Genomic DNA, 27,333 nt, shown 5'->3' with positions numbered 1-27,333 from the left:
CCTTTGTTTTGATAGAGCAGTTTTGAAACTCTCTTTTTGTAGAATCTGTAAGTGGACATTTGGAGCGCTTTGAGCGATATGATGGAAAAGGTAATATCTTCACATAAAAACCAGGCAGAAGTATTCTGACAAATTTCTTTGTGATGTGTGCATTCACCTCACAGAGTTGAACCTTTCTCTTGATTGAACAGTTTGGAAACAATCTTTTTGTGGAATCTGCAAGTGTACATTTGTAGCGCTTTTCAGCCTATTAGTACAAAAGGAAATATCTTCACATAAAATCTAGAAAGAAGCAATCTGAGAAACTTCTTTGTGATGTGTGCATTCGCCTCATGGAGTTAAACCTTTCTTTTGATTGAGCAATTTTGAAACTCTATTTTTGTAGAATCTGCAAGTGGACATTTTGAGCACTTTCAGGCCTGTGGAGGAAAAGAAAATATCTTCACAGAAAGACTAGACAGAAGAATTCTGTGAAACTTCTGTGTGATGCATGTGTTCATCTCACAGAGTTGAAACTTTCTTTTGATTAAGCAGTTTGGAAACACTCTTTCTAGAATCTGCAAGTGGACATTTGCAGCGCTTTGCCGCATGTGGTAGAAAAGGGAATATCATCACAAAAAAATCTCGACAGAAGCAATATTAGAAACTTCTTTGTGATGTATGCATTCTTCTCACAGAGTTAACGCTTTCTTTTGATTGAACAATTTTGAAACTCTCTTTTTGTAGTATCTGCAATTGGACATTTGGGGCGCTTTGAGGCCTATTGTGGAGAAGGAGATATCTTCACATAAAAACTAGATAAAAGCATTCTGAGAAACTGCTTTGTGATGTGCACATTCATTTCCCACAGTTGAATATTTCCTTTGATTGACCAGTTTTGAAATACTGTTTTTGTAGAATCTGCAAGTGAACGTTTCCAGTTCCTTGAGGCCTGTTGTGGAAAACGAAATATCTTCACATAAACACTAGACATAAGAATTCTGAGAAACTACTTTGTGATGTGTGCGTTCATCTCACAGAGTTGAACCTTTTTGTTGATTGAGCAGTTTGGAAACACTCTTTTTGTAGAATCTGCAAGTGGACATTTGGAGTGCTTTGTGGCCTATGGTAGAAAAGGAAATATATTCACATAAAATCTAGACAGAAACAATCCGAGAAACTTCTTTGGATGTGTGCACTCATGTCACAGAGTTAAACATTTCTTTTGATTAAGCAGTTTTGAAAATCTCTTTGTAGAATCTGTAAGTGGACATTTGGAGGGCTTTGAGGCCAATGGTGGAATAGGAAATATCTTCCCATCAATAGTAGACAGAAGAATTCTGAGAAACTTTTTTGTGATGTGTGCCTTCATCTTAAGGAGTTCAACCTTTCTTTTTATTGAGCAGTTTGGAAACACTCTTTTTGCAGAATCTGAAAGTGGACATTTGGAGAGCTTTGCAGCCTTTGGTGGAAAAGGAAATATCTTCACATGAAATCTAGACAGAAGCAATCTGAGAAACTTATTTGTGATGTGTGAATTCATCTCACAGAGTTAAACATTTCTTTTGATTGTGCAGTTTTAAAACTCTCTTTTTGTAGTATCTGCAAGTGGACATTTGGAGAGCTTTGAGGCCTAAGGTGGAAAAGGAAATATCTTCACATAAAAACTTGACAGAAGAATTCTGAGAACCTTCTTTGTGATGTGTGTATTCATCTCACAGAGTTGAATATTTCTTTTGATTGGGCAGTTTGGAAACAATCTTTTTGTAGAATCTGCATGTGGACATTTGGAGCGATTTGAGGCCTATGGTAGAAAAGGAAATATCTTCACATAAAATCTAGACAGAAGCAATCTGAGAAACTTCTTTGTGATATGTGCATTCATTTCACACAGTTAAACCTTTCTTTTGATTGAGCAGTTTTGAAACTCTATTTTTGTAGAATCTGCAAGTGTACCTTTTGAGCCGTTTGAGGCCTGTGGAGGAAAAGGAAATATCTTCACAGAAAAACTAGACAGAATAATTCTGAGAAACTTCTTTGTGATGCATGCAGTCATCTCACAGACTTGAACTTTTCTTTTGATTAAGCAGTTTGGAAACACTCTTTCTAGAATCTGCAAGTGGACATTTGGAGCGCTTTGCGACCTGTGGTAGAAAAGGAAATATCTTCACAAAAAATCTCAACAGAAGTCGTCTGAGAAACACTCTTGTGATGTGTGCATTCATCTCACAGAGTTAATCCTTTCTTTTGACTGAGCATTTTTGAAATTCTCTTTTTGTAATATCTGCAAGTAGACATTTGGAGTACTTTGAGGCCTATTGTGGAAAAGGAAATATCTTCACAGAAAAACTAGATAGAAGCATTCTGAGAAACTGCTTTGTGATGTTTACATTCATTTCCCTGAGTTGAACCTTTCTTTTGATGGACCAGTTTTGAAATACTCTTTTGGTAGAATCTGCAAGTGGACATTTCCAGTGCCTGAGGCCTATGGTGGAAAATGAAATATCTTCACATAAAAATTAGACATAAGATTTCTGAGAAACTACTTTGTGATGTGTGCGTTCATCTCACAGAGTTGGATCTTTCTTTGATTGAGCTGCTTGGAAACACTCTTTTTGTAGAATCTGCAAGTGGACATTTGGAGTGTTTGTGGCCTATGCTAGAAAAGGAAATATATTCACATAAAATCTATGGATGAATGCACACATCACAAAGAAGATTCTCAGATTGCTTTTGTCTAGATTTTATGTGAAGATATTTCCTTTTCTACCATAGGCCGCAAGGCGCTCCAAATATCCAAAAGTAGATTCTATAAAAAGAGTGTTTCCAAACTGCTCAATCAAAGAAAAGACTCAATTCTGTGAAATGAATGCACACATCACAAAGAAGTTTCTCAGAATTCTTCTGCCTATTTTTTATGTGAAGATATTTCCTTTTCCACCATGTGCCCCAAAGCGCTCCAAATGTTCACTTGCAGATTCGACAAAAAGAGAGTTTCGAAACTCCTCAATCAAAAGAAATGTTTAACTCCTTGAGTTGAAGGAACACATCACAAAGGTGTTTCTCAGATTGCTTCTGTATAGATTTTACGTGAAGATATTACCTTTTCTGCCATATGCAGCAAAGTACTCAAATGTCCGCTAGCAGAATCTATAAGAATCTATAAGAAGAGTGTTTCCAAACTGCTGTATCAAAAGATTCAACTCGGTGAGATGAACTTACACATAACAAGGAAGTTTCTCAGAATTTTTCTGTCTAGTTTTTATGTGAAAATATTTCCTTTTCCACCATAGTCCTCAAAGCTCTTCAAATGTTCACTTGCATATTCTACAAAAAGAGAGTCTAAAAATTTCTCAATCAAAACAAGTATTTAACACTGTGAGATGAATGCCCACATCACAAAGATGTTTCTCAGATTGCTTCTGTCTAGATTTTATGTGAAGATACTTCCTTTTCTAACATGGGCCACAAGGTGCTCCAAATGTCCACTTGCAGATTCTACAAAAAGAGTGTTTCCAAACTGCTCAATCAAAAGAAAGGTTCAACTCTGTGAGGTAATGCACACATCACAAAGAAGTTTCTCAGAATTCTTCTGTCTAGTATTTATGTGAAGATATTTCCTTTTCCACAATAGGCCTCAAAGCGCTGTAAATGTCCACTTGCAGATTCCACAAAAAGAGAGTTTCAAAACTATTCAAACAAAAGAAAGGTTTACCTCTGTGTTATGAATGCACACATCACAAAGAACTTTCTCAGATTGCTTCTGTCTAGATTTTATGTGAAGATACTTCCCTTTCTAACATGGCTGCAAGGTGCTCAAAATGTCCACTTGCATATTCTACAAAAAGACTGTTTCCAAACTGCTCAATCAAAAGAAAGGTTCAACTCTGTGAGGTAATGCACACATCACAAAGAGGTTTCTCAGAATTCTTCTGTCTAGTATTTATGTGAAGATATTTCCTTTTCCACAGTAGATCTCAAAGCTCTGTAAATGTCCACTTGCAGATTCTACAAAAAGAGAGTTTCAAATCAAACTCTGTACAATCAAAAAGTTGTTCAATCAAAAGAAAAAAAGTTGTTCAATCAAAAGAAAGGTTTACCTCTGTGTTATGAATGCACACATCACAAAGAACTTTCCCAGATTGCTTCGGTCTAGATTTTATGTGAGGATATTTCCTTTTCTAACACGGGCCACAAGGTGCTCCAAATATCTACGTGCAGAGTCTACAAAAAGAGTGTTTCCAAACTGCTCAATCAAAAGAAAGGTTCTACTCTGTGAGGTAATGCACACATCGCAAAAAGTTTCTCAGAATTCTTCTGTCTAGTATTTATGTGAAGATATTCCCTTTTCCACAATAGGCCTCAAAGTGCTCTAAATGTCCACTTCCAGATTCTACAAAAGGAGAGTTTCAAAACTGCTTAGTCAAAAGAAGGGTTTAACTCTATGAGATGAATGCACACATCACAAGGAAGTTTCTCAGATTGCTTTTGTCTAGATTTTATGTGAAGATATTTCCTTTTCTACCATAGGTCACAAAGCGCTCCAAATGTCCAAAAGTAGATTCTATAAAAAGAGTGTTTCCAAACTGCTCAAACAAAGATTCAACTCTGTCAATTGAATGCACACATCACAAAGATGTTTCTCAGAATTCTTCTGCCTAGTGTTTATGTGAAGATATTTCCTTTTCCACCATGGGCCCCAAAGCGTTCCAAATGTCCACTTGCAGATTCTACAAAAAGAGTGTTTCCAAATTGCTGAATCAAAAGAAAGTTTCAACTCTGTGAGATGAACGCACACATCACAAAGAAGTTTCTCAGAATTCTTCTATCTTGTTTTCATGTAAAGGTATTTCTTTTCAGACCATAGGCCTCAAAGTGCTCCAAATGTCCACTTGCAGATTCTGCAAAAAGAGATTTTCAAAACTGCTCAATCTAAAGTAAGGTTTAACTCTGTGAGATGAATGTTCTCATCACAAAGAAGTTTCTCAGATTGTTTCTGTCTAGATTTTATGTGAAGATATTTCCTTTTCTACCATAGGCTGCAAAGCGCTCCAAATCTCCACTTGCAGATCCTACAAAATGAGTGTTTTCAAACTGCTCAATCAAAAGAAATGTTCAACTCTGTGAGATGAACACACACATCACAAAGAAGTTTCTCAGAATTCTTCTGTCTAGTGTTTATGTGTAGAAATTTCATTTTCCACCATAGGCGTCAAGGCACTCGAAAAGTCCACATGCAGATTCTACAAAAAAGTATTTCCAAACAGGTCCATCAAAAGAAAGTTTCAACTCTGGGAGATGAATGCACACATCACTAAGAAGGTCTCAGAATGATTCTATGTAGTTTTTATGTGAAGACATTTCCTTTTCAACCATAGGTCTCTAAGCTCTTCAAATTTCCCTTGCAGATTCTCCAAAAATAGTGTTTCACAACTGCTCAATCAAAAGAAAAGTTCAACGCTGTGAGATGAACGCACCCATCACAAAGTAGTTTCTCAGAATTCTTCTGTCTAGTTTTTATGTGAAGATATTTTCTTTTCCACCATAGGCGTCAAAGCGCTCCAGATGTTGAATTGCAGATCCTACAAAAAGAGAGTTTAAAAACTGCTCAATCAAAAGAAATGTTTAACTCTCTGAGATGCATGCACACATTACAATATAGTTTCTCAGGTTGCTTCTGTCTAGATTTCATGTGAAGATATTTCCTTTTTCTACCATAGGCTGCATGCAAATCGCTTCAATTGTCCACTTGCAGATTCTAAAAATAGAGTGTTTACAAACTGCTTAATCAAAAGAAAGGTACAACTACGTGAGATGAACCCCCACATCACAAAGAAGTTTCTCAGAATTCTTCTGTCTAGATTTATGTGAAGATATTAACTTTCCACCATAGGCATCAAAGTGCTCCAAAAGTTCACTTGCAGATTCTACAAAAAGAGTGTTTCAAAACTGCTCAATCAAAAGAAAAGTTTACCTCTGTGATATGAATGCCTACATCACCAAGAAGTTTCTCAGACTGCTTCTGTTTAGATTTTATATGAAGATATTTCCTTTTCTACCATAGGCCACAAAGTGCTCCCAATGTCCACCTGCAGATCCTACATAAAGAGTGTTTCCAAACTGCACCACCAAAAGAAAGGTTCAACTCTGTGAGATGAACGCATACATCACAAAGAAGTTTCTCTGAATTCTTCTGTCTAGTTTTTATGTGAAGATATTCCCTTTTCTACCATAGGCCTCAAGGTTCTCGAAATATCCACTTGCAGATTCTACAAAAAGAGTGTTTCAAAACTGCTCAATGAAAAGAAAGGTTCAATCCTGTGAGATGAATGCACACATCGCAAAGAAGTTTTTCAGAATTCTTCTGTCTAGTTTTTATGTGAAGATATTTCCTTTTCCACCTTAGTCCTCAAAGCCCTCCAAATGTCCACTTGCAGATTCTACAAAAAGAGAGTTGCAAAACTGCTCAATCAAAAGAAAGATTTACCTCTGTGAGATTAATGCACACAACACAAAGAAGTTTCTCAGAAATCTTCTGTCTAGTTTTTATGTGAAGATATTTCCTTTTCTACCGCAGGCTGCAAAGTGCTCCAAATGTCCACTTGTAGATTCTACAAAAAGAGTGTTTCCAAACTACTCAATCAAAAGAAAGGTCCAACTCTGTGAGATAAATGCACACATCAGAAAGTATTGTCTCAGAACTCTTCTTTCTAGTTTTTATGTAAAGATATTTCCTTTTCCACCATAGGCCTCAAAGCACTCCAAACGTCCACTTGCAGATTCTGCAAAAAGAGTTTCAAAACTGCTTAAACAAAAGAATGGTTAAACTCTGTGAGGTGAGTGCACATATCACAAAGAGGTTTCTCAGATTACTTCTGTCTAGATTTTATGTGAAGATATTTCCTTTTCTACCACAGGCCGCAAAGCGTTCCAAATGTGCACTTGCAGATTCTACAAAAAGAATGTTTCCAAGTTGCTCAACAAAAGAAAGCTTCAACTCTGTGAGATGAACGCCCACATCATGAAGAAGTTTCTAAGAATTCTTCTGTCTAGTTTTTATGTGGAGATATTTCCTTTCCCACTATAGGCCTCAAATCGTTCAAAATGTCCACTTGCAGATTCTACAAACAGAGAGTTTCAAAACACCTCAATCAAAAGAAAGGTTTAACTCTCTGAGATGAATGCACACATCAGAAAGAAGTTTCTCAGATTTGTTCTGTCTAGATTTTATGTGAAGATATTTCCTTTTCTGCCATAGGCTGCAAATCGCTCCAAGTGTCTACATGCAGTTTTGAAAAAAAGAGTGTTTCCAAAATGCTCCCTCAAAAGACACGTTCAACTCTGAGATGAACGCACACATCACAAAGAAGTTTCTCAGAATTCTTCTCTCTAGTTTTCATGTGAAGATGTTTCCTTTTCCACAATAGATCTCAAAACGCTCCAAATGTCCACATGCAGATTCTATAAAAAGACAGTTTCAAAACTAATCTATCAAAAGAAAAGGTTTAACTCTGTCAGATGAATGCACACATCACAAAGAAGATTTTCAGATTGCTTCTGTCTAGATTTTATGTGAAGATATTTCCTTTTCTACCATAGGCTTCAAAGTGCTCCTAATGTCCACTTGCAGATCCTACAAAAAGAGTGTTTCCAAACTGCTCAATCAAAAGAAAGATTCAACTCTGTGAGATGAATGCACACATCACAAAGAAATTGCTCAGATTGCTTCTGTCTAGATTTTATGTGAAGATATTTCCTTTTCTACAATAGGCCACAAAGCGCACAAAATGTCCACTTGTGGATTCTCAAAAAAGTTTGTTTCCAAACTGCTCAGTCAAAAGAAAGGCTTACCTCTATGAGATGAATGCAGACATCACAAAGATATTTATCTGTATACATCTGCTTAGTTTTTATGTGAGGATATTTCCTTTTCCACCATAGGCCACAAAGCCCTCCAAATATCCACTTTCAGATTCTACAAAAAGAGAATTTCAAAACTCCACAATCAAAAGAAAGGTTTAGCTCTTTGAGGTGAATGCACACATCACAAAGAAGATTTTCAGGTTGCTTCTGTCAGATTTTATGTGAAGATATTAAATTTTCTGCCATTGGCTGCAAAGTGCTCCAAATATTCACTTACAAATTATACAAAAAGAGTGTTTCCATACTGCTAAATCAAAAGAAAGGTTCAACTCTGTGAGACGAATGCACACATCACCAAGAAGTTTCTCAGAATTCTTCTGTCTAGTTTTTATGTGAAGATATTTCATTTTCCACCACAGGCCTCAAGGCGCTTGAAATGTCCACTTGCAGATTCTAAACAAAGAGTGTTTCAAAACTGGTCCATCAATGGAAAGGTTCGACTCTGGGAGATGATTGTGCATATCACAAAAACTTTCTCAGAATGCTTCTATCTAGTTTTTATGTGAAGATATTTCCTTTTCCACTATTGGCGTCAAAGCGTCCCAAATGTCATCTTGCAGATTCAACAAAAGAGAGTTTCAGAACTGCTCAGACAAAAGAGAGAGTTACCTCTGTGAGATGAATGCACACATTACAAAGAAGTTCCTCAGATTGCTTCTGTCTAGATTTTATGTGAAGATATTTCCTTTTCTAACGTCGGCCGCAAAGTGCTACAAATGTCCTCTTGCAGATCCTTCAAAAAGAGAGTTCAAGACTTTTCAATCAAAGGAAAGGTTTAACTCTGTGAGATGAATGCACACATCACAAATAAGTTTCTCAGATTGCTTCTTTCTAGATTTTATGTAAAGATATTTCCTTTTCTACTTTAGGCCGCAAAGCGTTCCAAATATCCACTTGCAGATTGTACAAAATAGTGTTTCCAAACTGCTCAATCAAAAGAAAGGTTCAACTCTGTGAGATGAAGCCACAAATCACAAAGAAGTTTCTCAGAATTCTTCTGTCTAGTTTTTATGTGAAGATATTTCCTTTTCCACCATAGGCCTTTAAGTGCTCCAAATGCTCACTTGCAGATTCTACAAAAGAGAGTTTCAAAATTGCTCTATCAAAAGAAATTTTTAACTCTGTGAGATGAATGCACACATTACAAAGAAGTTTCACAGATTGCTTCTGTATAGATTTTATGTGAGGATATTTCTTTTTCTACCATATGCTAAAAAGTACTCCAAATGTCCACTTGCAGATTCAACAAAAAGAGTGTTTCCACACTGTTCAATCAAAAAAAAGTTTCAACTCAGTGAGATGAATGCACACATCACAAAGAAGTTTCTCAGAATTCTCCTGTGTAGTTTTTAAGTGAAGATAATTTATTTTCCACAAAAGGCCATAGGGCACTCCCATTTTCCACTTGCAGATACTACAAAAAGAGAGTTCCAAATCTGCTCCATCAAGAAAAGATCAACTCTGTGAGATGAACGCACACATCACAAAGAAGTTTCTCAGATTGCTTCTGTCTAGATTTTATGTGAAGATATTTCCTTTTCCACCAAAGACCACAAAGCGCTCCAAATGTCCACTTGCAGATTCTGCAAAAAGAGTGTTTCAAAACTGCTCTATCAAAAGAAAGATTTCACTCTGTGAGATGAATGCACACATCACAAAGAAGTTTCTCAGATTGCTTGTGTCTAGATTTTATGTGAAGATATTTCCTTTTCTACCATAGGCCACAAGGCGCTCCAAATGTCCACTTGCACATTCTACAAAAAGAGTGTTTCCAAACTGCTCAATCAAAAGAAAGGTTCAACTCTTTGAGATGAACGCACACATCACAAACAGATTTCTCAGATAGTTTCTGTATAGATTTTATGTGAGAGTATTTCATTTTCTAACATAGGCCACAAAAAGCTCCAAATATCCACTTGCGGATTCTACAAAAAGAGAGTTTCAAAACTGCTCTATCAAAAGATAGGTTAAAATCTGTGACTTGAATGCACATCTAACAATGAAGTTTCCCAGAAAGCTTCTGTGTAGTTTTTATCTGAAGATATTTCCTTTTCCAAAATAGACCACAAAGCTTTTCAAATATCCACTTTCAGATTCTACAAAAAGAGTGTTTCCAAATTACTCAGTCAATAGAAAGATTCAACCCTTTGGGATGAATGCACTCATCACAAAAACGTTTCCCGGAATGATTCTGTGTTGTTTTTATTTGAAGATATTTTCTTTTCCACTGTAGGCCACAAAGGGCTCCAAATATCCACCTGCAGATGCTACAAAAAGAGAGATTCAAAACTGCTCAATCAAAAGATAGGTTCAACTCTGTGAGTTGAATGCACACATCACAAAGTGTTTTCTCAGAATGCCTCTGTGTAGTTTTTATGTGAAGATATTTCCTTTTCCACAATAGGCTTCAAATCGCTCCAAATATCCAATTGCAGATTCTGCAAAAAGAGAGATTCTAAACTGCTCAATCAAAAGATAGGTTCAACTCTGTGAGTTGAATGCACACATCACAAGGAAGTTTCTCAGAATGCCTCTGTGTAGTTTTTATGTGAAGATATTTCCTTTTCCACTATAGGCCTCAAAGCACTCCAAATATCCACTTGCTGGTTCTGCAAAAAGAGAGATTCAAAACTGCCCAATCAAAAGATCGGTTTGACTCTGTGAGTTGAATGCACACCTCACAAAAAAGTTTCTCAGAATGCTTCTGTGTAGTTTTATTTGAAGATATTTGCTTTTCCACAGTAGGTCTCAGAACGCTACAAATATCGACCTGCAGATTCTGCAAAAAGAGAGATTCAAAACTGCCCAATCAAAAGATAGGTTCAACTCTGTGTGTTGAATGCACACATAACACAGTAGTTTCTCAGAATAATTATGTGTAGTTTTTATGTTAAGATATATCCTTTTCCAAAATAGGCCTCAAAGCCCTCCAAATAGCTACTTCGAGATTCTACAAAAAGAGTGTTTCAAAACTGCTCAATCAAAAGAAACTTTGAACTCTTTGTGATGAATGCACTCATCACAAAGGAGTTCCTCTGAATGCTGCTGTGCAGTTTTTATTTGAAGATATTTCCTTTTCCCCCATGGGATGCAAGGGCTCCAAATATCCACTTTCAGATTCTACAAAAAGAGAGATTCAAAACTGCTCAATCATAAGATAGGTTCAAACTTGTGAGCTGAATGTATACATCATAAAGTAGTTTCCCAGAATTCTTCTGTGTAGTATTTATTTGAAGATATTTCCTTTTCCACAATAGGCCACAAAGCACTCCAAATATCCACTTGCAGATTCTGCAGAAAGATTGAAAACTGCTCAATCAAAAGAAAGATTCGAGTCTGTGGGTTGAATGCACACCTCACAAAAAAGTTTCTCAGAATGCTTCTGTGTAGTTTTTATTTGAAGATATTTGCTTTTCCACAGTAGGCCTCAAAGTGCTACAAATATCCACTTGCAGATTCTGCAAAAAGAGAGATTGAAAACTGCTCAATCAAAAGATAGGCTCAACTCTGTGTGTTGAATGCACACATAACAAAGGAGTTTCTCAGAATAATTCTGTGCAGTTTTTATGTTAAGATATATCCTTTCCCAAAATAGGCCTTAAAGCCCTCCAAATAGTTACTTTGAGTTTCTACAAAAAGAGTGTATCAAAACTGCTCAGTCAAAAGAAACTTTAAACTCTTTGTGATCAATGCAGTCATCACAAAGGTGTTTCTCTGAATGCTTCTGTGTAGTTTGTATTTGAAGATGTTTCCTTTTCAACCATAGGGTGCAAAGGGCTCCAAATATCCACTTGCATATTCTACAAAAAGAGAGATTGAAAACTGCTCAATCATAAGATAGGTTCAAACGTGTCACCTGAATGCACACATCACAAAGAAGTTTCCCAGAATTCTTCCGTGTAGTTTTTATTTGAAGATATTTCCTTTTCCACAATAGGGCACAAAGGTCTCCAAATATTCACTAGCAGATTCTACAAAAGAGAGATTCCAAACGGCTCAATCAAAAGATAGATTCAACTCTGTGAGTTGAATGCACAAATAAAAAAGAAGTTTCTCAGAATGTCTATGTGTAATTTTTATGTGAAGATATTTTCTTTTCCAAAATTGGCCTCAAAGCCCTCCAAATATCCACTTCCAGATTCTACGAAAAGAGCGTTTCAAAACTGCTCAATCAAAGGAAACGTTCAACTCTGTGTGATGAATGCACTCAACACAAAGAAGTTTCTCAGAATGCTTATGTGTAGTTTTTATTTGAAGATATTTCCTTTTCCAACACAGGGTGCAAAGAGCTCCAAATATCCACTTGCAGATTCTAGAAAAAGAGAGATTCAAAAGTGCTCAATGAAGAGAAAAGTTCAAATCCGTGAGTTGAATGCACACCTCACAAAGAAGTTTCTCAGAATGCTTCTGTGTAGTTTTTATGTGAAGATATTTCCTTTTCCAAAATAGGACTCAAAGCTCTCCAAATATCCACTTGTAGATTCTACAAATATAGTGTTTCAAAACTGCTCAATCAAAAGAAAGGTTCATCTCTGTGAAATGAATGCACACATCAAAAAGAAGTTTCTCAGAATGCTTCTGTGTAGTTTTTATGTGAACATATTTCCTTTTCCACGGTAGGCCCCAATGTGCTCCAAATATACACTTGCATATTCTACAAAAACAGCGGTTCTAAACTGCTCAATCATAAGACAGGTACAACCCAGTGAGGTGAATGCACACATCACGAAGAAGTGTCTCAGAAAGCTTCTGTGTAGTGTTTATGTGAAGATATTTCCTTTTCCACAACTGTCCTCAAAGTCCTAAAATATGCACTTGCAGATTCTGCAAAAAGAGTGTCTCAAAACTGTTCAGTCAAAGGAAAGGTTCAAATCTGTGTGATGAATGCACTCACAACAAAGAAGTTTTTCTGAATGCTTCTGTGTAGTATTTATTTGTTGATATTTCCTTTTCTACAATAGGCCTCAAACCGCTCCAAACATTTACTTGCAGATTCCACAAAAAGAGTGTTTCAAAACTGCTCAATCATAAGTTAGGTTCAAACCTGTGATATGAATGCACACATCACAAAGAAGTTTCTCAGAATGTTTCAGTGCAGTTTTTTTTATTATTATTATACTTTAAGTTTTAGGGTACATGTGCACATTGTGCAGGTTAGTTACATATGTATACATGTGCCATGCTGGTGCGCTGCACCCACTAACTCGTCATCTAACATTAGGTATATCTCCCAATGCTATCCCTCCCCCCTCCCCCAACCCCACCACAGTCCCCAGAGTGTGATATTCCCCTTCTTGTGTCCATGTGATCTCATTGTTCAATTCCCACCTATGAGTGAGAATATGCGGTGTTTAGTTTTTTGTTCTTGCGATAGTTTACTGAGAATGATGATGTCCAATTTCATCCATGTCCCTACAAAGGACATGAACTCATCATTTTTTATGCCTGTATAGTATTCCATGGTGTATATGTGCCACATTTTCTTAATCCAGTCTATCATTGTTGGACATTTCGGTTGGTTCCAAGTCTTTGCTATTGTGAATAGTGCCGCAATAAACATACATGTGCATGTGTCTTTATAGCAGCATGATTTATATTCCTTTGGGTATATACCCAGTAATGGGATGGCTGGGTCAAATGCTATTTCTAGTTCTAGATCCCTGAGGAATCGCCACACTGACTTCCACAATGGTTGAACTAGTTGACAGTCCCACCAACAGTGTAAAAGTGTTCCTATTTCTCCACATCCTCTCCAGAACCTGTTGTTTCCTTACTTTTTAATGATTGCCATTCTAACTGGTGTGAGATAGTATCTCATTGTGGTTTTGATTTGCATTTCTCTGATGGCTAGTGATGATGAGCATTTTTTCATGTGTTTTTTGGCTGCATAAATGTCTTCTTTTGAGAAGTGTCTGTTCATGTCCTTTGCCCACTTTTTGATGGGGTTGTTTGTTTTTTTCTTGTAAATTTGTTTGAGTTCATTGTAGATTCTGGATATTAGCCCTTTGTCAGATGAGTAGGTTGTGAAAATTTTCTCCCATTTTGTAGGTTGTCTGTTCACTCTGATGGTAGTTTCTTTTGCTGTGCAGAAGCTCTTTAGTTTAATTAGATCCCATTTGTCAATTTTGGCTTTTGTTGCCATTGCTTTTGGTGTTTTGGACATGAAGTCCTTGCCCATGCCTATGTCCTGAATGTTAATGCCTAGGTTTTCTTCTAGGGTTTTTATGGTTTTAGGTCTAATGTTTAAATCTTTAATCCATCTTGAATTGATTTTTGTATAAGGTGTAAGGAAGGGATCCAGTTTCAGCTTTCTACATATGGCTAGCCAGTTTTCCCAGCACCATTTATTAAATAGGGAATCCTTTCCCCATTGCTTGTTTTTCTCAGGTTTGTCAAAGATCAGATAGTTGTAGGTATGCGGTGTTATTTCTGAGGGCTCTGTTCTGTTCCATTGACCTATATCTCTGTTTTGGTACCAGTACCATGCTGTTTTGGTTACTGTAGCCTTGTAGTATAGTCTGAACTCAGGTAGTGTGATGCCTCCAGCTTTGTTCTTTTGGCTTAGGATTGACTTGGCGATGCGGGCTCTTTTTTGGTTCCATATGAACTTTAAAGTAGTTTTTTCCAATTCTGTGAAGAAAGTCATTGGTAGCTTGATAGGGATGCCATTGAATCTGTAAATTACCTTGGGCAGTATGGCCATTTTCATGATATTGATTCTTCCTAGCCATGAGCATGGAATGTTCTTCCATTTGTTTGTATCCTCTTTTATTTCATTGAGCAGTGGTTTGTAGTTCTCCTTGAAGAGGTCCTTCACATCCCTTGTAAGTTGGATTCCTAGGTATTTTATTGTCTTTGAAGCAATTGTGAATGGGAGTTCACTCATGATTTGGCTCTCTGTTTGTCTGTTGTTGGTGTATAAGAATGCTTGTGATTTTTGCACGTTGATTTTGTATCCTGAGACTTTGCTGAAGTTGATTATCAGCTTAAGGAGATTTTGGGCTGAGACAGTGGAGTTTTCTAGATATACAATCATGTCATCTGCAAACAGGGACAATTTGACTTCCTCTTTTCCTAATTGAATACCCTTTATTTCCTTCTCCTGCCTATTTGCCCTGGCCAGAACTTCCAACACTATGTTGAATAGGAGCGGTGAGAGAGGGCATCCCTGTCTTGTGCCAGTTTTCAAAGGGAATGCTTCCAGTTTTTGCTCATTCAGTATGATATTGGCTGTGGGTTTGTCATAGATAGCTCTTATTATTTTGAAATACGTCCCATCAATACCTAATTTATTGAGAGTTTTTAGCATGAAGGGTTGTTGAATTTTGTCAAAGGCTTTTTCTGCATCTATCGAGATAATCATGTGGTTTTTGTCTTTGGCTCTGTTTATATGCTGGATTACATTTATTGATTTGCTTATATTGAACCAGCCTTGCACCCCAGGGATGAAGCCCACTTGATCATGGTGGATAAGCTTTTTGATGTGCTGCTGGATTCGGTTTGCCAGTATTTTATTGAGGATTTTTGCATCAATGTTCATCAAGGATATTGGTCTAAAATTCTCTTTTTTGGTTGTGTCTCTGCCTGGCTTTGGTATTAGAATGATGCTGGCCTCATTAAATGAGTTAGGGAGGATTCCCTCTTTTTCTATTGATTAGAATAGTTTCAGAAGGAATGGTACCAGTTCCTCCTTGTACCTCTGGTAGAATTCGGCTGTGAATCCATCTGGTCCCGGATTCTTTTTGGGTGGTAAACTATTGATTATTGCCACAATTTCAGCTCCTGTTATTGGTCTATTCAGAGATTCAACTTATTCCTGGTTTAGTCTTGGGAGAGTGTATGTGTTGAGGAATGTATCCATTTCTTCTAGATTTTCTAGTTTATTTGCGTAGAGGTGTTTGTAGTATTCTCTGATGGTAGTTTGTATTTCTGTGGGATGGGTGGTGATATCCCCTTTATCATTTTTTATTTTGTCTATTTGATTCGTCTCTCTTTTTTTCTTTATTAGTCTTGCTAGCGGTCTATCAATTTTGTTGATCCTTTCAAAAAACCAGCTCCTGGATTCATTGATTTTTTGAAGGGTTTTTTGTGTCTCTATTTCCTTCAGTTCTGCTCTGATTTTAGTTATTTCTTGCCTTCTGCTAGCTTTTGAATGTGTTTGCTCTTGCTTCTCTAGTTCTTTTAATTGTGATGTTAGGGTGTCAACTTTGGATCTTTCCTGCTTTCTCTTGTGGGCATTTAGTGCTATAAATTTCCCTCTACACAGTGCTTTGAAGCGTCCCAGAGATTCTGGTATGTTGTGTCTTTGTTCTCATTGGTTTCAAAGAACATCTTTATTTCTGCCTTCATTTCGTTATGTACCCAGTAGTCATTCAGGAGCAGGTTGTTCAGTTTCCATGTAGTTGAGTGGCTTTGAGTGAGATTCTTAATCCTGAGTTCTAGTTTGATTGCACTGTGGTCTGAGAGATAGTTTGTTATAATTTCTGTTCTTTTATATTTGCTGAGGAGAGCTTTACTTCCAAGTATGTGGTCAATTTTGGAATAGGTGTGGTGTGGTGCTGAAAAAAATGTATATTCTGTTGATTTGGGGTGGAGAGTTCTGTAGATGTCTATTAGGTCTACTTGGTTCAGAGCTGAGTTCAATTCCTGGGTATCCTTGTTGACTTTCTGTCTCCTTGATCTGTCTAATGTTGACAGTGGGGTGTTAAAGTCTCCCATTATTAATGTGTGGGAGTCTAAGTCTCTTTGTAGGTCACTCAGGACTTGCTTTATGAATCTGGGTCCTCCTGTATTGGGTGCATATATATTTAGGATAGTTAGCTCTTCTTGTTGAATTTATCCCTTTACCATTATGTAATGGCCTTCTTTGTCTCTTTTGATCTTTCTTGGTTTAAAGTCTGTTTTATCAGAGACTAGGATTGCAATCCCTGCCTTTTTTTGTTTTCCATTTGCTTAGTAGATCTTCCTCCATTCTTTTATTTTGAGCCTATGTGTGTCTCTGCACGTGAGATGGGTTTCCTGAATAGAGCACACTGATGGGTCTTGACTCTTTATCCAATTTGCCAGTCTGTGTCTTTTAATTGGAGCATTTAGTCCATTTACATTTAAAGTTAATATTGTTATGTGTGAATTTGATCCTGTCCTTATGATGTTAGCTGGGGATTTTGCTCGTTAGTTGATGCAGTTTCTTCCTAGTCTCGATGGTCTTTACATTTTGGCATGATTTTGCAGCGGCTGGTACCAGTTGTTCCTTTCCATGTTTAGCGCTTCCTTCAGGAGCTCTTTTAGGGCAGGCCTGCTGGTCACAAAATCTCTCAGCATTTGCTGGTCTGTAAAGTATTTTATTTCTCCTTTACTTATGAAGCTTAGTTTGGCTGGATATGAAATTCTGGGTTGAAAATTATTTTCTTTAAGAATGTTGAATATTGGCCCCCACTCTCTTCTGGCTTGTAGGGTTTCTGCAGAGAGATCCACTGTTAGTCTGATGGGCTTCCCTTTGAGGGTAACCCGACCTTTCTCTCTGGCTGCCCTTAACATTTTTTCCTTCATTTCAACTTTGGTGAATCTGACAATTATGTGTCTTGGAGATGCTCTTCTTGAGGAGTATCTTTTTAGCGTTCTCTGTATTTCATGAATCTGAACGTTGGCCTGCCTTGCTAGATTGGGGAAGTTCTTCTGGATAATATCCTGCAGAGTGTTTTCCAACTTGGTCCATTCTCCGCGTCACTTTCAGGTACACCAATCAGACGTAGATTTGGTCTTTTCACATAGTCCCATATTTCTTGGAGGCTTTGCTCATTTCTTTTTATCCTTTGTTCTCTAAACTTCCCTTCTCGCTTCATTTCATTCATTTCATCTTCCATTGCTGATACCCTTTCTTCCAGTTGATCGCATCAGCTCCTGAGGCTTCTGCATTCTTCACGTAGTTCTCGAGCCTTGGTTTTCAGCTCCATCAGCTCCTTTAAGCACTTCTCTGTATTGGTTATTCTAGTTATACACTCTTCTAAATTTTTTTCAAAGTTTTCAACTTCTTTGCCTTTGGTTTGAATGTCCTCCCATAGCTCAGAGTAATTTGATCGTCTGAAGCCTTCTTCTCTCAGCTCGTCAAAGTCATTCTCCATCCAGCTTTGTTCCGTTGCTGGTGAGGAACTGCGTTCCTTTGGAGGAGGAGAGGCGCTCTGCATTTGAGAGTTTCCCGTTTTTCTGTTCTGTTTTTTCCCCATCTTTGTGGTTTTATCTACTTTTGGTCTTTGATGATGGTGATGTACAGATGGGTTTTCGGTGTGAATGTCCTTTCTCTTTGTTAGTTTTCCTTCTAACAGACAGGACCCTCAACTGCAGGTCTGTTGGAATACCCTGCCGTGTGAGGTGTCAGTGTGCCCCTGCGGGGGGGTGCCTCCCAGTTAGGCTGCTCGGGGTTCAGGGGTCAGGGACCCACTTGAGGAGGCAGTCTGCTGGTTCTCAGATCTCCAGCTGCGTGCTGGGAGAACCACTGCTCTCTACAAAGCTGTCAGACAGGGACATTTAAGTCTGCAGAGGTTACTGCTGTCTTTTTGTTTGTCTGTGCCCTGCCTCCAGAGGTGGAGCCTACAGAGGCAGGCAGGCCTCCTTGAGCTGTGGTGGGCTCCACCCAGTTCGAGCTTCCCAGCTGCTTTGTTTACCTAAGCAAGCCTGGGCAATGGCGGGCGCCCCTCCCCCAGCCTCGCTGCCGCCTTGCAGTTTGATCTCAGACTGCTGTGCTAGCAATCGGCGAGATTCTGTGGGCGTAGGACCCTCTGAGCCAGGTGTGGGATATAGTCTCGTGGTGCGCCGTTTTTTAAGCCGGTCTGAAAAGCGCAATATTCGGGTGGGAGTGACCCGATTTTCCAGGTGCGTCCGTCACCCCTTTCTTTGACTCGGAAAGGGAACTCCCTGACCCCTTGCACTTGCCGAGTGAGGCAGTGCCTCACCCTGCTTCAGCTCATGAACTGTGCACTGCTCCCACTGTCCTGCATCTGCTGTCTGGCACTCCCTAGTGAGATGAACCCGGTACCTCAGATGGAAAAGCAGAAATCACCCGTCTTCTGCGTCTCTCACGCTGGGAGCTGTAGACTGGAGCTGTTCCTATTCAGCCATCTTGGCTCCTCCTCCAGTGTAGTTTTTATTTGAAGATATTTCCTTTTCCACAACAGGCCTCAAAGCTCTCCAAATATCCACTTGCTGGTTCTGCAAAAAGAGTGTTTCATAACTGCTCAATAAAAATAAAGGTTCAACTCTGTGTGATGAATGCACTCATCACAAACAAGTTTCTCAGAATGCTTCCACGTAGTTTTAATGTGAAGGTATTTCCTTTTCCACAATAGGCCCCACACTCTGCAAATATCCACTAGGTCATTCTTCAAAAAGGATGTTTCAAAACTGCTCAATAAAAAAAAAGGTTCAACTCCGTGTGAGGAATGTATTCATCACAAAGAAGTTTCTCTGAATGCTTCTGTGTAGTTTTTATATGAAGATATTTCCTTTTACACAATAGGGCACAAAGGGCTCCAAATATCCCCTTACAGATTCTACAAAAAGAGAGATTCAAAACTGCTCAGTCAAAAGATAGGTTCATCTCTGTGAGTTGAATGCACACATCACAATGAAGTTTCTCAGAATGCTTCTGGGATAGTTTTTATTTGAGGATATTTCCTTTTACACAATAGGCCTCAAAACTCTCCAAATATCCAATTGGTCTTTCTGCAAAAAGGGTGTTTCAAAACTGCTCAATAAAAAGAAAGTTTCAACTCTGTGTGAGGAATGCATTCATCACAAAGAAGTTTCTCTGAATGGTTCTGTGTAGTTTTTATTTGAAGATATTTCCTATTCCACCATAGGGCACAAAGGGCTCAAAATATCCACTTGCAGATTCTACAAAAAGAGAGATTCAAAAGTGCTCAGTGACAAGATAAGTTCAACTCTGTGAGTTGAATGCACAACTCATGAAGAAGTTTCTCAGAATGCTTCTGTGTAGTTTTTATGTGAAGATATTTCCTTTTCCAAAATAGGCCTCAACAGAGTGGAATGGAATAGAAAGAATTGGAGTGGACTAGAATGGATGGACCCAAAGGGAATGGAATCGAATGCAATATAATTGAATGGATTAGAATCAACCAGAATCGAATGGAATCAAATGGAATGTGGCAAACTGAATTGGAGCAAAGTGGAATGGAGTGGAATGGAATGGAGTGGAATGGAATAGAGTAGAGTGTATTGGAGTGGCGGCGAATGGAATGGAATGGTAAGGAATGGAATTGAAAGGAGTGCAGTGGAGCGGAGTGGAGTGGAATGTAATGGAATGGATGGAATGGAGTGGAGTGGAGAGGAGAGGTGTGGAGGGGAGTGGAATGGAATAGAATGGAATTGAATAAAATGGACTCATATGAAATGAACTGGTATAGAATGGACTGGAATGGAAAGGACTTAAATGGAATGCACTCAAATAAAATGGACGCTAATGGAATGGAATCAAATATAATGGAATGGAATGGAATCGAATGGAATGGAATGGCTTTGAATGGAATGAGATCAAATGGAATAGTAGTGAATGGAATCGCATGGAATGGAATTGAATGGAATGGAATGAAATGGCATCGAATGGAATCGAATGGAATGCGGTGAATTGGAGAGGAGTGAAGTGGAATGGAGTGGAATAGAATAGGGTGGAATGGAATTGAATGTAATGGAGAGGAGTGGAGTGGAATGGAGTGGAATGAAATGGAATGGGAAGGAATGGTATTGAATGGAGGGGACTGGAGTAGAGTGGAGTGGAATGGAATGCAATGGAATGGAATGGAATGGAATGCAATGCAATTGAGTAAAATGGAATGGAAAAGATAGGAACGGAATGGTCTGGAGTGGGTTAGGATGGTGTGGAGTGAAGTGGAATGGAATGGAGTGGAATGGAATGGAATGGAGTGGAGTAGAGTGGAAAGGAGTGGAGTGGAGTGGAATGGAATAGAATGCAATGGAATGGAAAGGTATGGACTCTAATGGAATGAAGTGGGATGGAGTGGACTCGAATAGAATGGACTGGAATGGAACAGACATGAATGGAATGGACTCGAATGGAATGGAATTGAATGGAATGGAATCAAACATAATGTAATGGAATGGAATCGAATCAAATAGAATGGAATGGAATCATATGGAAGTGAATAAAATTTAATGTGATGTAATGAAAAGGAATGGAATGGAAAGGAATCAAATCGAAAGTGATTGAATGGAATAGAATCGAATGGAATGGAATCGAATTGAATGGAATCGAATGTCATCAAATGAAATCAAAAGGAATATGGTAAAGTGGAGAGGAGGGGAGTGGAATGGAGTTGAAGGGAATTTGGTGGAATGGAATTGAATGTGGTGGTGTGGAGTGGAGTGGAATGGAGTGGAATGTAATGGAATGGGAAGGATAGGAACTGAATGGAGTGGAGTGGAGTGGAGTGGAGTGGAATGTATTGCAATGGAATGGAATGGATAGTAAAGGAATGGACACGAATGGAATGGAAGGGACTTGAATGGAATGGACTGGAATAGAATGGACTGGAATGGAATGGACACGAATGGAATGGACTGGAATGGAATGGACTGGACTGGAATGGAATGGACACGAATGGAATGGACTGGAATGGAATGGACTCGAACGGAATGGAATCGAACAGAGTGGAATAGAATGCAATGAAATAGAATGCAATGGAATCGGATGAAATGGAATCAATCGGAATGGAATCGAATGACATCAAATGGAATTGAATGGAATGTGGTATAGTAGAGTGCAGTGGAGTGGAATGGAGTTGAATGGAATGCGGGTAATGTAATTGAATGTAGTGGAGTAGAGTGGAATAGAGTGGAATGGAAAGGAATGGGAAGTAACGAAATTGAATCGAGTGGAGTGGACTGGACTGGAGTTAAATGCAATGGAGTGGAATGGAATGGAGGAGAGTGGAGTGGAATGGAGTGGAATGGAGTGGAGTGGAGTGGAGTGGAGTGCAACGGAAAGGCATGGAATGGAATAGAATGGAATGTACTCAAATGGAATGGAATAAAGTGGAATGGAATAGAATGTAATGGAATCGAATTGAATGGAATGGAATGGAATAGAATGGAATGGAATAGAATGGAATGGAATGAAATCAAATGGAATTTGGTGAATTGGAGTGGAGTGGATTGGAAAGGAGAGGAATGGAATGTGTGGAATGGAATTGAATACAGTGGAGTGGAGTGGAGTGGAATGGAGTTGAATGGTATGGAATGAGAAGGAATGGAATTGAACGTAGTGGAGTGGAGTGGAAAGCAATAGAATGGAATTGAATGGAGTGGAGTGGAGTGGAGTGCCGAGGAGTAGAGTGGAATGCAATGGAATGGAATGGAATTGAGTGGAAAGGAAAGGAATGGAATGGAATTTAGTGGAGTGGAATGGAATGGAATGGAATGGAATGGAGTCGAATAGAATGTAATAGAATGGAATTGAATCAAATCAAATGGAATCGAATGGAATTCGGTGAAGTGAAGTGCAGTGGAGTGGAAAGGATGGGAATGCAGTGGGGTGGAATGGATTTGAATGGATTGTAGTGGACTGGTGTAGAATGGAAGGGAATTGAATGGAATGGGAGGGAATGGAATTGAACGGTGTGGAGTGGATTGGAGTGGAGTGGAAAGTAGCGGAATGCAGTGGAGTGGTGTGTAATGTAAATGAATGCAATGGAGTGGAATGGAGTGGAATGTCGTGGAATGGAGTGGAGTAGAAAGGAATGGAATGGAATGGAAAGGAATGGAACGGAATGGAATTCAATGGAATGGGACAGAATGGAATTGAACAAAGTGGAGTGTAGTGGAGTGGAGCAGAGTGGAATGCAAAGTAATAGAATGTAATGGAGTGGAATGGAATGGAATGGAATGCAATAAATTGGAATGGACTTGAATGGAATGGAAACGAATGGAATGGAATCAAATGGAATGGAACCGAATGGGATGGAATCAAATGGAATGGAATTGAATGGAATGGCATCGAATGGAATGGAATCGAATGGAAAGGAATTGAATGGAATGGTATTGAATGGAATGGAAAGAAATGGAATGGAATGGAAACAAACGGTATGGTATCGAATGTAATGGAATCGAATGGCATCAAATGGAATTGAAAGGAATGCGGTGAAGTGGAGTAAAGTGGGTTGAAATGGAGTGGAATGGAATGTGGAGGAATGGAATTGAATGGAGTGGAGTCGAGTTGAGGGTAATGAAGTGGAATGGAAAGGAATAGGAATGATTGGAATTGAAAGGAGTGGAGTGGAGTGGAATGCAATGGAATGGAATTGAGTGAAGTGGAGTCTAGTGAAGTGGAGTGTATTGGGATGGACAGGAGTGGAGTGGAGTGGAGTGCAATGGAATGGAATGAAATGGAATGGACTTGAATGGAATGGACTGGAGGGGAATGGACTGGAATGGAATAGAATCGAATGGAATGGACTCAAATGGATTGGAATCGAATGGAATGGAACGGAGTAGAATGGAATGGAACGGAATAGAGTGGAATAGAACAGAATGGATTCGAATGGAATGGACACGAATGGAATGGAATGGAATGCAATGGAATGCAATGGAATGCAATGGAAAGGAATCGAATGGAATGGAATTGATTGGAATGTAATTGAATGGAATCAAATCCAATGGCATTGAATGGAATAGAATGGAATGCAGTGAAGTCAACTGGAGTGGAGTGGAATACAGTGGAATGGAATGGGGTGGAATGGAATTGAATGGATTGGAGTGGAGTGGATTGGCATGGAGTGGAATGGAATGGAATGGGAAGAAATGGAATTGAATGGAGTGGAGAGGATTGGAGAGGAGTGGAATGCAATGCAATGGAAAGGAATGGAATGAAGTGGAGTGCAGTGGACTACACTGGAGTGGAGTTGAATTGAATGAAGTGGAGTGGAGTGGAATGGAATGGTGTGAAGTGGAATGGAATGGAATGGAATGGAATGAACTGGAATGGAATGGACTGGAATTGAATGGACTCGAATGGAATGGACTGGAATGGAATGGACTCGACTGGAATGGTCTGGAATGTAATAGACTCAAATGGAGTGGAATCGGATGGAATGGAATCAAATGAAAAGGAATCGAATGGAATGGCATCGAATGCAATGGAATCAAATGGCAAAGAATGGCATCAAATGGGAACGAATAGAATGCGGTGAGGCAGAGTGGAGTGGAATTGAGTGGAATGGAATGGGTTCGAACGGAACTGAATGGAGTAGCTTGGAATGTAGTGGAATAGAGTGGAATGGAATAGAATGGGAAGGAATGGTATTGAAAGGAGTGGAGTGGAGTGGAATGGAGTAGAAAGGAATGCAATGGAATGGAATGGAGTGGAGCGGAGTGGAGTGGAATGGAGATGAGTGGAGTGGAATGGAAGGGAATGGAAGGGAATGGAATGGAAGGGAATGGAATGGTAAGGAATGGAGTGTAGCGGAGTGAAATGGAATGCAATGTAATAGAATGGAATACAATGGAATGGAATGGAATGGAATGAACTTGAAGGAAACGGAGTGGGATGGAATGGAATGGGCTTGAATGAAATGGGCTCGAATGGAAGGGATTCGAATGGAATGGAACCAAAAGGAATGAAATCAAATGGAATGGAATTGAATGCAATGTAATCAAATGGCATTGAAAGGAATTGAATGGACTTAGTGAATGGGAGTTAAAGGGATTGGAATGGAAAGGCGTGGAAAGGGATGTAATGGAGTGAAGTGGAGTGGAGTGCATTGGAGTGGAACAGAATGGAATGGACAGGAGTAGATTTGAGTGGAGTGGAGAGGAATGCAGTGGAATGGAACAGAAAGGAATGGAATGGAGTGGAGTGAAGTGGAACAAAATGGAATGGAATGGAATGGAAAGCAGGGACATGTAATGGATTGGATTGGAATGGCCTGGAATGGAATGGAGTCAAGTGGAATGGACTTGAATGGCAAGTACTCGAATTCAGTGGACTCCAAAGGAATGGACTCAAATGGAATGGACTGGAAGGGAATATATATGAATTGAATGGACTCGAATGGAATGGAGTGGAATGGAATGAAATCAAATGGAGTGGAATCAGAAGGAATGGAATCGGATGGAAAGGAATGTAATGGAATGAAATGGAATTATGGAATGGAATGGAATGGAATGGAATGGAATGGAATGGAATGGAATGGAATCAAATGCAATGGAATAGAATGGCAACAAATGGCATTGAATGGGATCGAACAGAGTGCGGTGAGCTGGAGTGGAGTGGAATGGAATTGAGTGGAATGGAATGGGTTGGAACAAAACTGAATGGAGTAGCTTGGATTCTAGTGGAATGGAGTGGAATGGAATGGAATGGGGAAGAAGGGAATTGAACGGAGTGGAGTGGAGTGGAATGGAGTGGAATGGAATGCAATGGAATGGAATGGAGTGGAATGGAGTGGAGTGGAGCAGAGCAGAGAGGAGTGGAGTGGAGTGAAGTGGAGTGGAGTTGAGTGGAGTGGAATGGAACGGAATGGAATGGAAGCGAATGGAATGGTATGGAATGGAGTGTAGTGGAGTGGAATGGAGTGGAACGGAATGGAGTCATGTGGAGTGGAATGGAATGCAATGGAATAGAAAGGAATAAAATGGAATGGACTCGAATAGAATGGACTTGGTTGAAACGGAGTGGGATGGAATGGACTGGAATGGAATGGGCTTGAATGGAAAGGGATCGAATGGAATGGATTCAAATGAAATAGAATCGAACGGAATGAAATTGAATGGAATGGAATTGAATGCAATATAATCGATTGACATCTAATGGAATCAAATGGACTTAGTCGAGTTAATTGGAGTGGAAAAGAGTGCAATGGAATGGGGTGGAAAGGAATTTAATGGAGTGAATTGGAGTGGAGTGGAATGGAGTGGAATGGAATGGAAGGGGAAGGAATGGAATTGATTGGAGTAGAGTTGAGTAGAGTGGATTGGAGACGAATGCAGTAGAATGGAATGGAAAGGAATGGAGTGGAGTGGAGTAGAGTGGAAAGGATTGGAATGAAATGGAATGGAAAGCTGTAGCATTGAAAGGATTGGAATGGAATGTACTGGAATGGAATGGAATCAAGTGGAATGGACTCGAATGGCACGTACTCGAATTGAGAGGACTCGAAAGGAATGGACTCAAATGGAATGGAATCGAACGTAATAGTCACGAATTGCATGGAAATGTATGGATAGGAATCGAATTGAAAGGCATCAAATGGAATGAAATCGAATGGAATGGAATCTAACGGATTGGAATCAAATGGAATGGAATCTAATGGAATGGAATGTAACGGAATGGAATCGAGTGGAATATAATCGAATGGAATATAATAAAATGGCACCGAATGGAATCAAACGGAATGCGGTGAAGTGGAGTGGAATGGAGTGGAATGGAGTGGAATGGAATGGTGTTCAATGGAATTGAACGGAGAGGAGTGGAGTAGAAGGCAGTGGATTGGAATTAAATGGGAAGGAATGGAATTGAACAGAATGGAGTGGAGTGGAACGCAATGGAATGGAATGGAGTGTAGTGGACTGGAGTTGAGTGGAGTGGAGTAGAGTTGAATGGAAAGAAGTGGAATGGAATGGAATGAAGTGGAATGGAGTGGAGTGGATAAATTGCAATGGAATGCAATGCAGTGGAAAGGAATGGAGGGGATTGGAGTTGACTGGAGGGGAGTGGAATGGAATGGAGTAGAGTGGAATGGAATGGAGTGGATTGGAATGGAATGGAGGGGAATGGAATGGAATGGAATGGAATGGAATGGAATGGAGTGGAGTGGAATAGAATGGAATGGAATGGAGTGGATTGGAATAGAATAGAATGGAATGGAGTGGAATGGAATGGGTTGGAAAGGAATGGAATGGAACGGAATGGACAGGAGTGTAGAAAAGTGGAGTGGAGTGGAATTGAATGGAGTGGAGTGGAGTGGAATGGAATGGAATACTATGGAACGGACCGGAAGGGAATGGACCCGAATGGAATGGACTTGAATGGAATGGACTCGAATGCAATGGACTCGAATAGAAAGGAATTGAATTAAATGGAATCAAAAGGAATGGAATCAAATGGTATCTAATATATAGGAATAGAATGTGGTGAAGTGGAGTGGAGTAGACTCGAATGGAGAGGAATGGAATGGTGTGGAATTGTATTGAATAAAGTGGAGTGCAGTGGAGTGGAATGGGGTGGAATGGAGTGGAATGGGAAGGAATGGAATCAGAAGGAAGGGAATGGAATGGAGTGGAGTGGATTGGAATGCAATGGAATGGAATGGATTGGAGTGGAGTGGAGTGGAATGGAATGGAGTGGCATGGAATAAAATGGAATGGAATGGAAAGCACTGGAGTGGAGTGGAGTGGAATGGAGTG

The 27,333-nt window shown here is 39.2% G+C and overlaps 6 annotated features.

Annotated features, from left to right (window-relative positions):
- Positions 5,874-6,849: an enhancer, noted in NCBI's record as "OCT4-NANOG hESC enhancer chr21:10759655-10760630 (GRCh37/hg19 assembly coordinates)". NCBI's record gives its function as "activates a minimal SCP1, AML or CMV promoter by ChIP-STARR-seq in primed H9 embryonic stem cells {active_cell/tissue: H9 hESC(primed)}" and the evidence as "EXISTENCE:reporter gene assay evidence [ECO:0000049][PMID:30033119]".
- Positions 6,850-7,825: an enhancer, noted in NCBI's record as "OCT4-NANOG hESC enhancer chr21:10760631-10761606 (GRCh37/hg19 assembly coordinates)". NCBI's record gives its function as "activates a minimal SCP1, AML or CMV promoter by ChIP-STARR-seq in naive H9 embryonic stem cells {active_cell/tissue: H9 hESC(naive)}" and the evidence as "EXISTENCE:reporter gene assay evidence [ECO:0000049][PMID:30033119]".
- Positions 10,980-11,494: an enhancer, noted in NCBI's record as "OCT4-NANOG hESC enhancer chr21:10764761-10765275 (GRCh37/hg19 assembly coordinates)". NCBI's record gives its function as "activates a minimal SCP1, AML or CMV promoter by ChIP-STARR-seq in primed H9 embryonic stem cells {active_cell/tissue: H9 hESC(primed)}" and the evidence as "EXISTENCE:reporter gene assay evidence [ECO:0000049][PMID:30033119]".
- Positions 11,495-12,008: an enhancer, noted in NCBI's record as "OCT4-NANOG hESC enhancer chr21:10765276-10765789 (GRCh37/hg19 assembly coordinates)". NCBI's record gives its function as "activates a minimal SCP1, AML or CMV promoter by ChIP-STARR-seq in primed H9 embryonic stem cells {active_cell/tissue: H9 hESC(primed)}" and the evidence as "EXISTENCE:reporter gene assay evidence [ECO:0000049][PMID:30033119]".
- Positions 12,009-12,523: an enhancer, noted in NCBI's record as "OCT4-NANOG hESC enhancer chr21:10765790-10766304 (GRCh37/hg19 assembly coordinates)". NCBI's record gives its function as "activates a minimal SCP1, AML or CMV promoter by ChIP-STARR-seq in naive H9 embryonic stem cells {active_cell/tissue: H9 hESC(naive)}" and the evidence as "EXISTENCE:reporter gene assay evidence [ECO:0000049][PMID:30033119]".
- Positions 26,588-26,882: a silencer, noted in NCBI's record as "tiled region #7824; HepG2 Repressive non-DNase unmatched - State 24:Quies". NCBI's record gives its function as "represses a minimal TATA promoter and a strong SV40 promoter by Sharpr-MPRA in HepG2 cells {active_cell/tissue: HepG2}" and the evidence as "EXISTENCE:reporter gene assay evidence [ECO:0000049][PMID:27701403]".

The sequence above is a fragment of the Homo sapiens genome, chromosome 21 (assembly GCF_000001405.40).
Source record: "Homo sapiens chromosome 21, GRCh38.p14 Primary Assembly".
In the NCBI taxonomy this organism is placed as follows: domain Eukaryota; kingdom Metazoa; phylum Chordata; class Mammalia; order Primates; family Hominidae; genus Homo; species Homo sapiens.
This window is presented reverse-complemented; position numbering and strand designations above follow the sequence as displayed.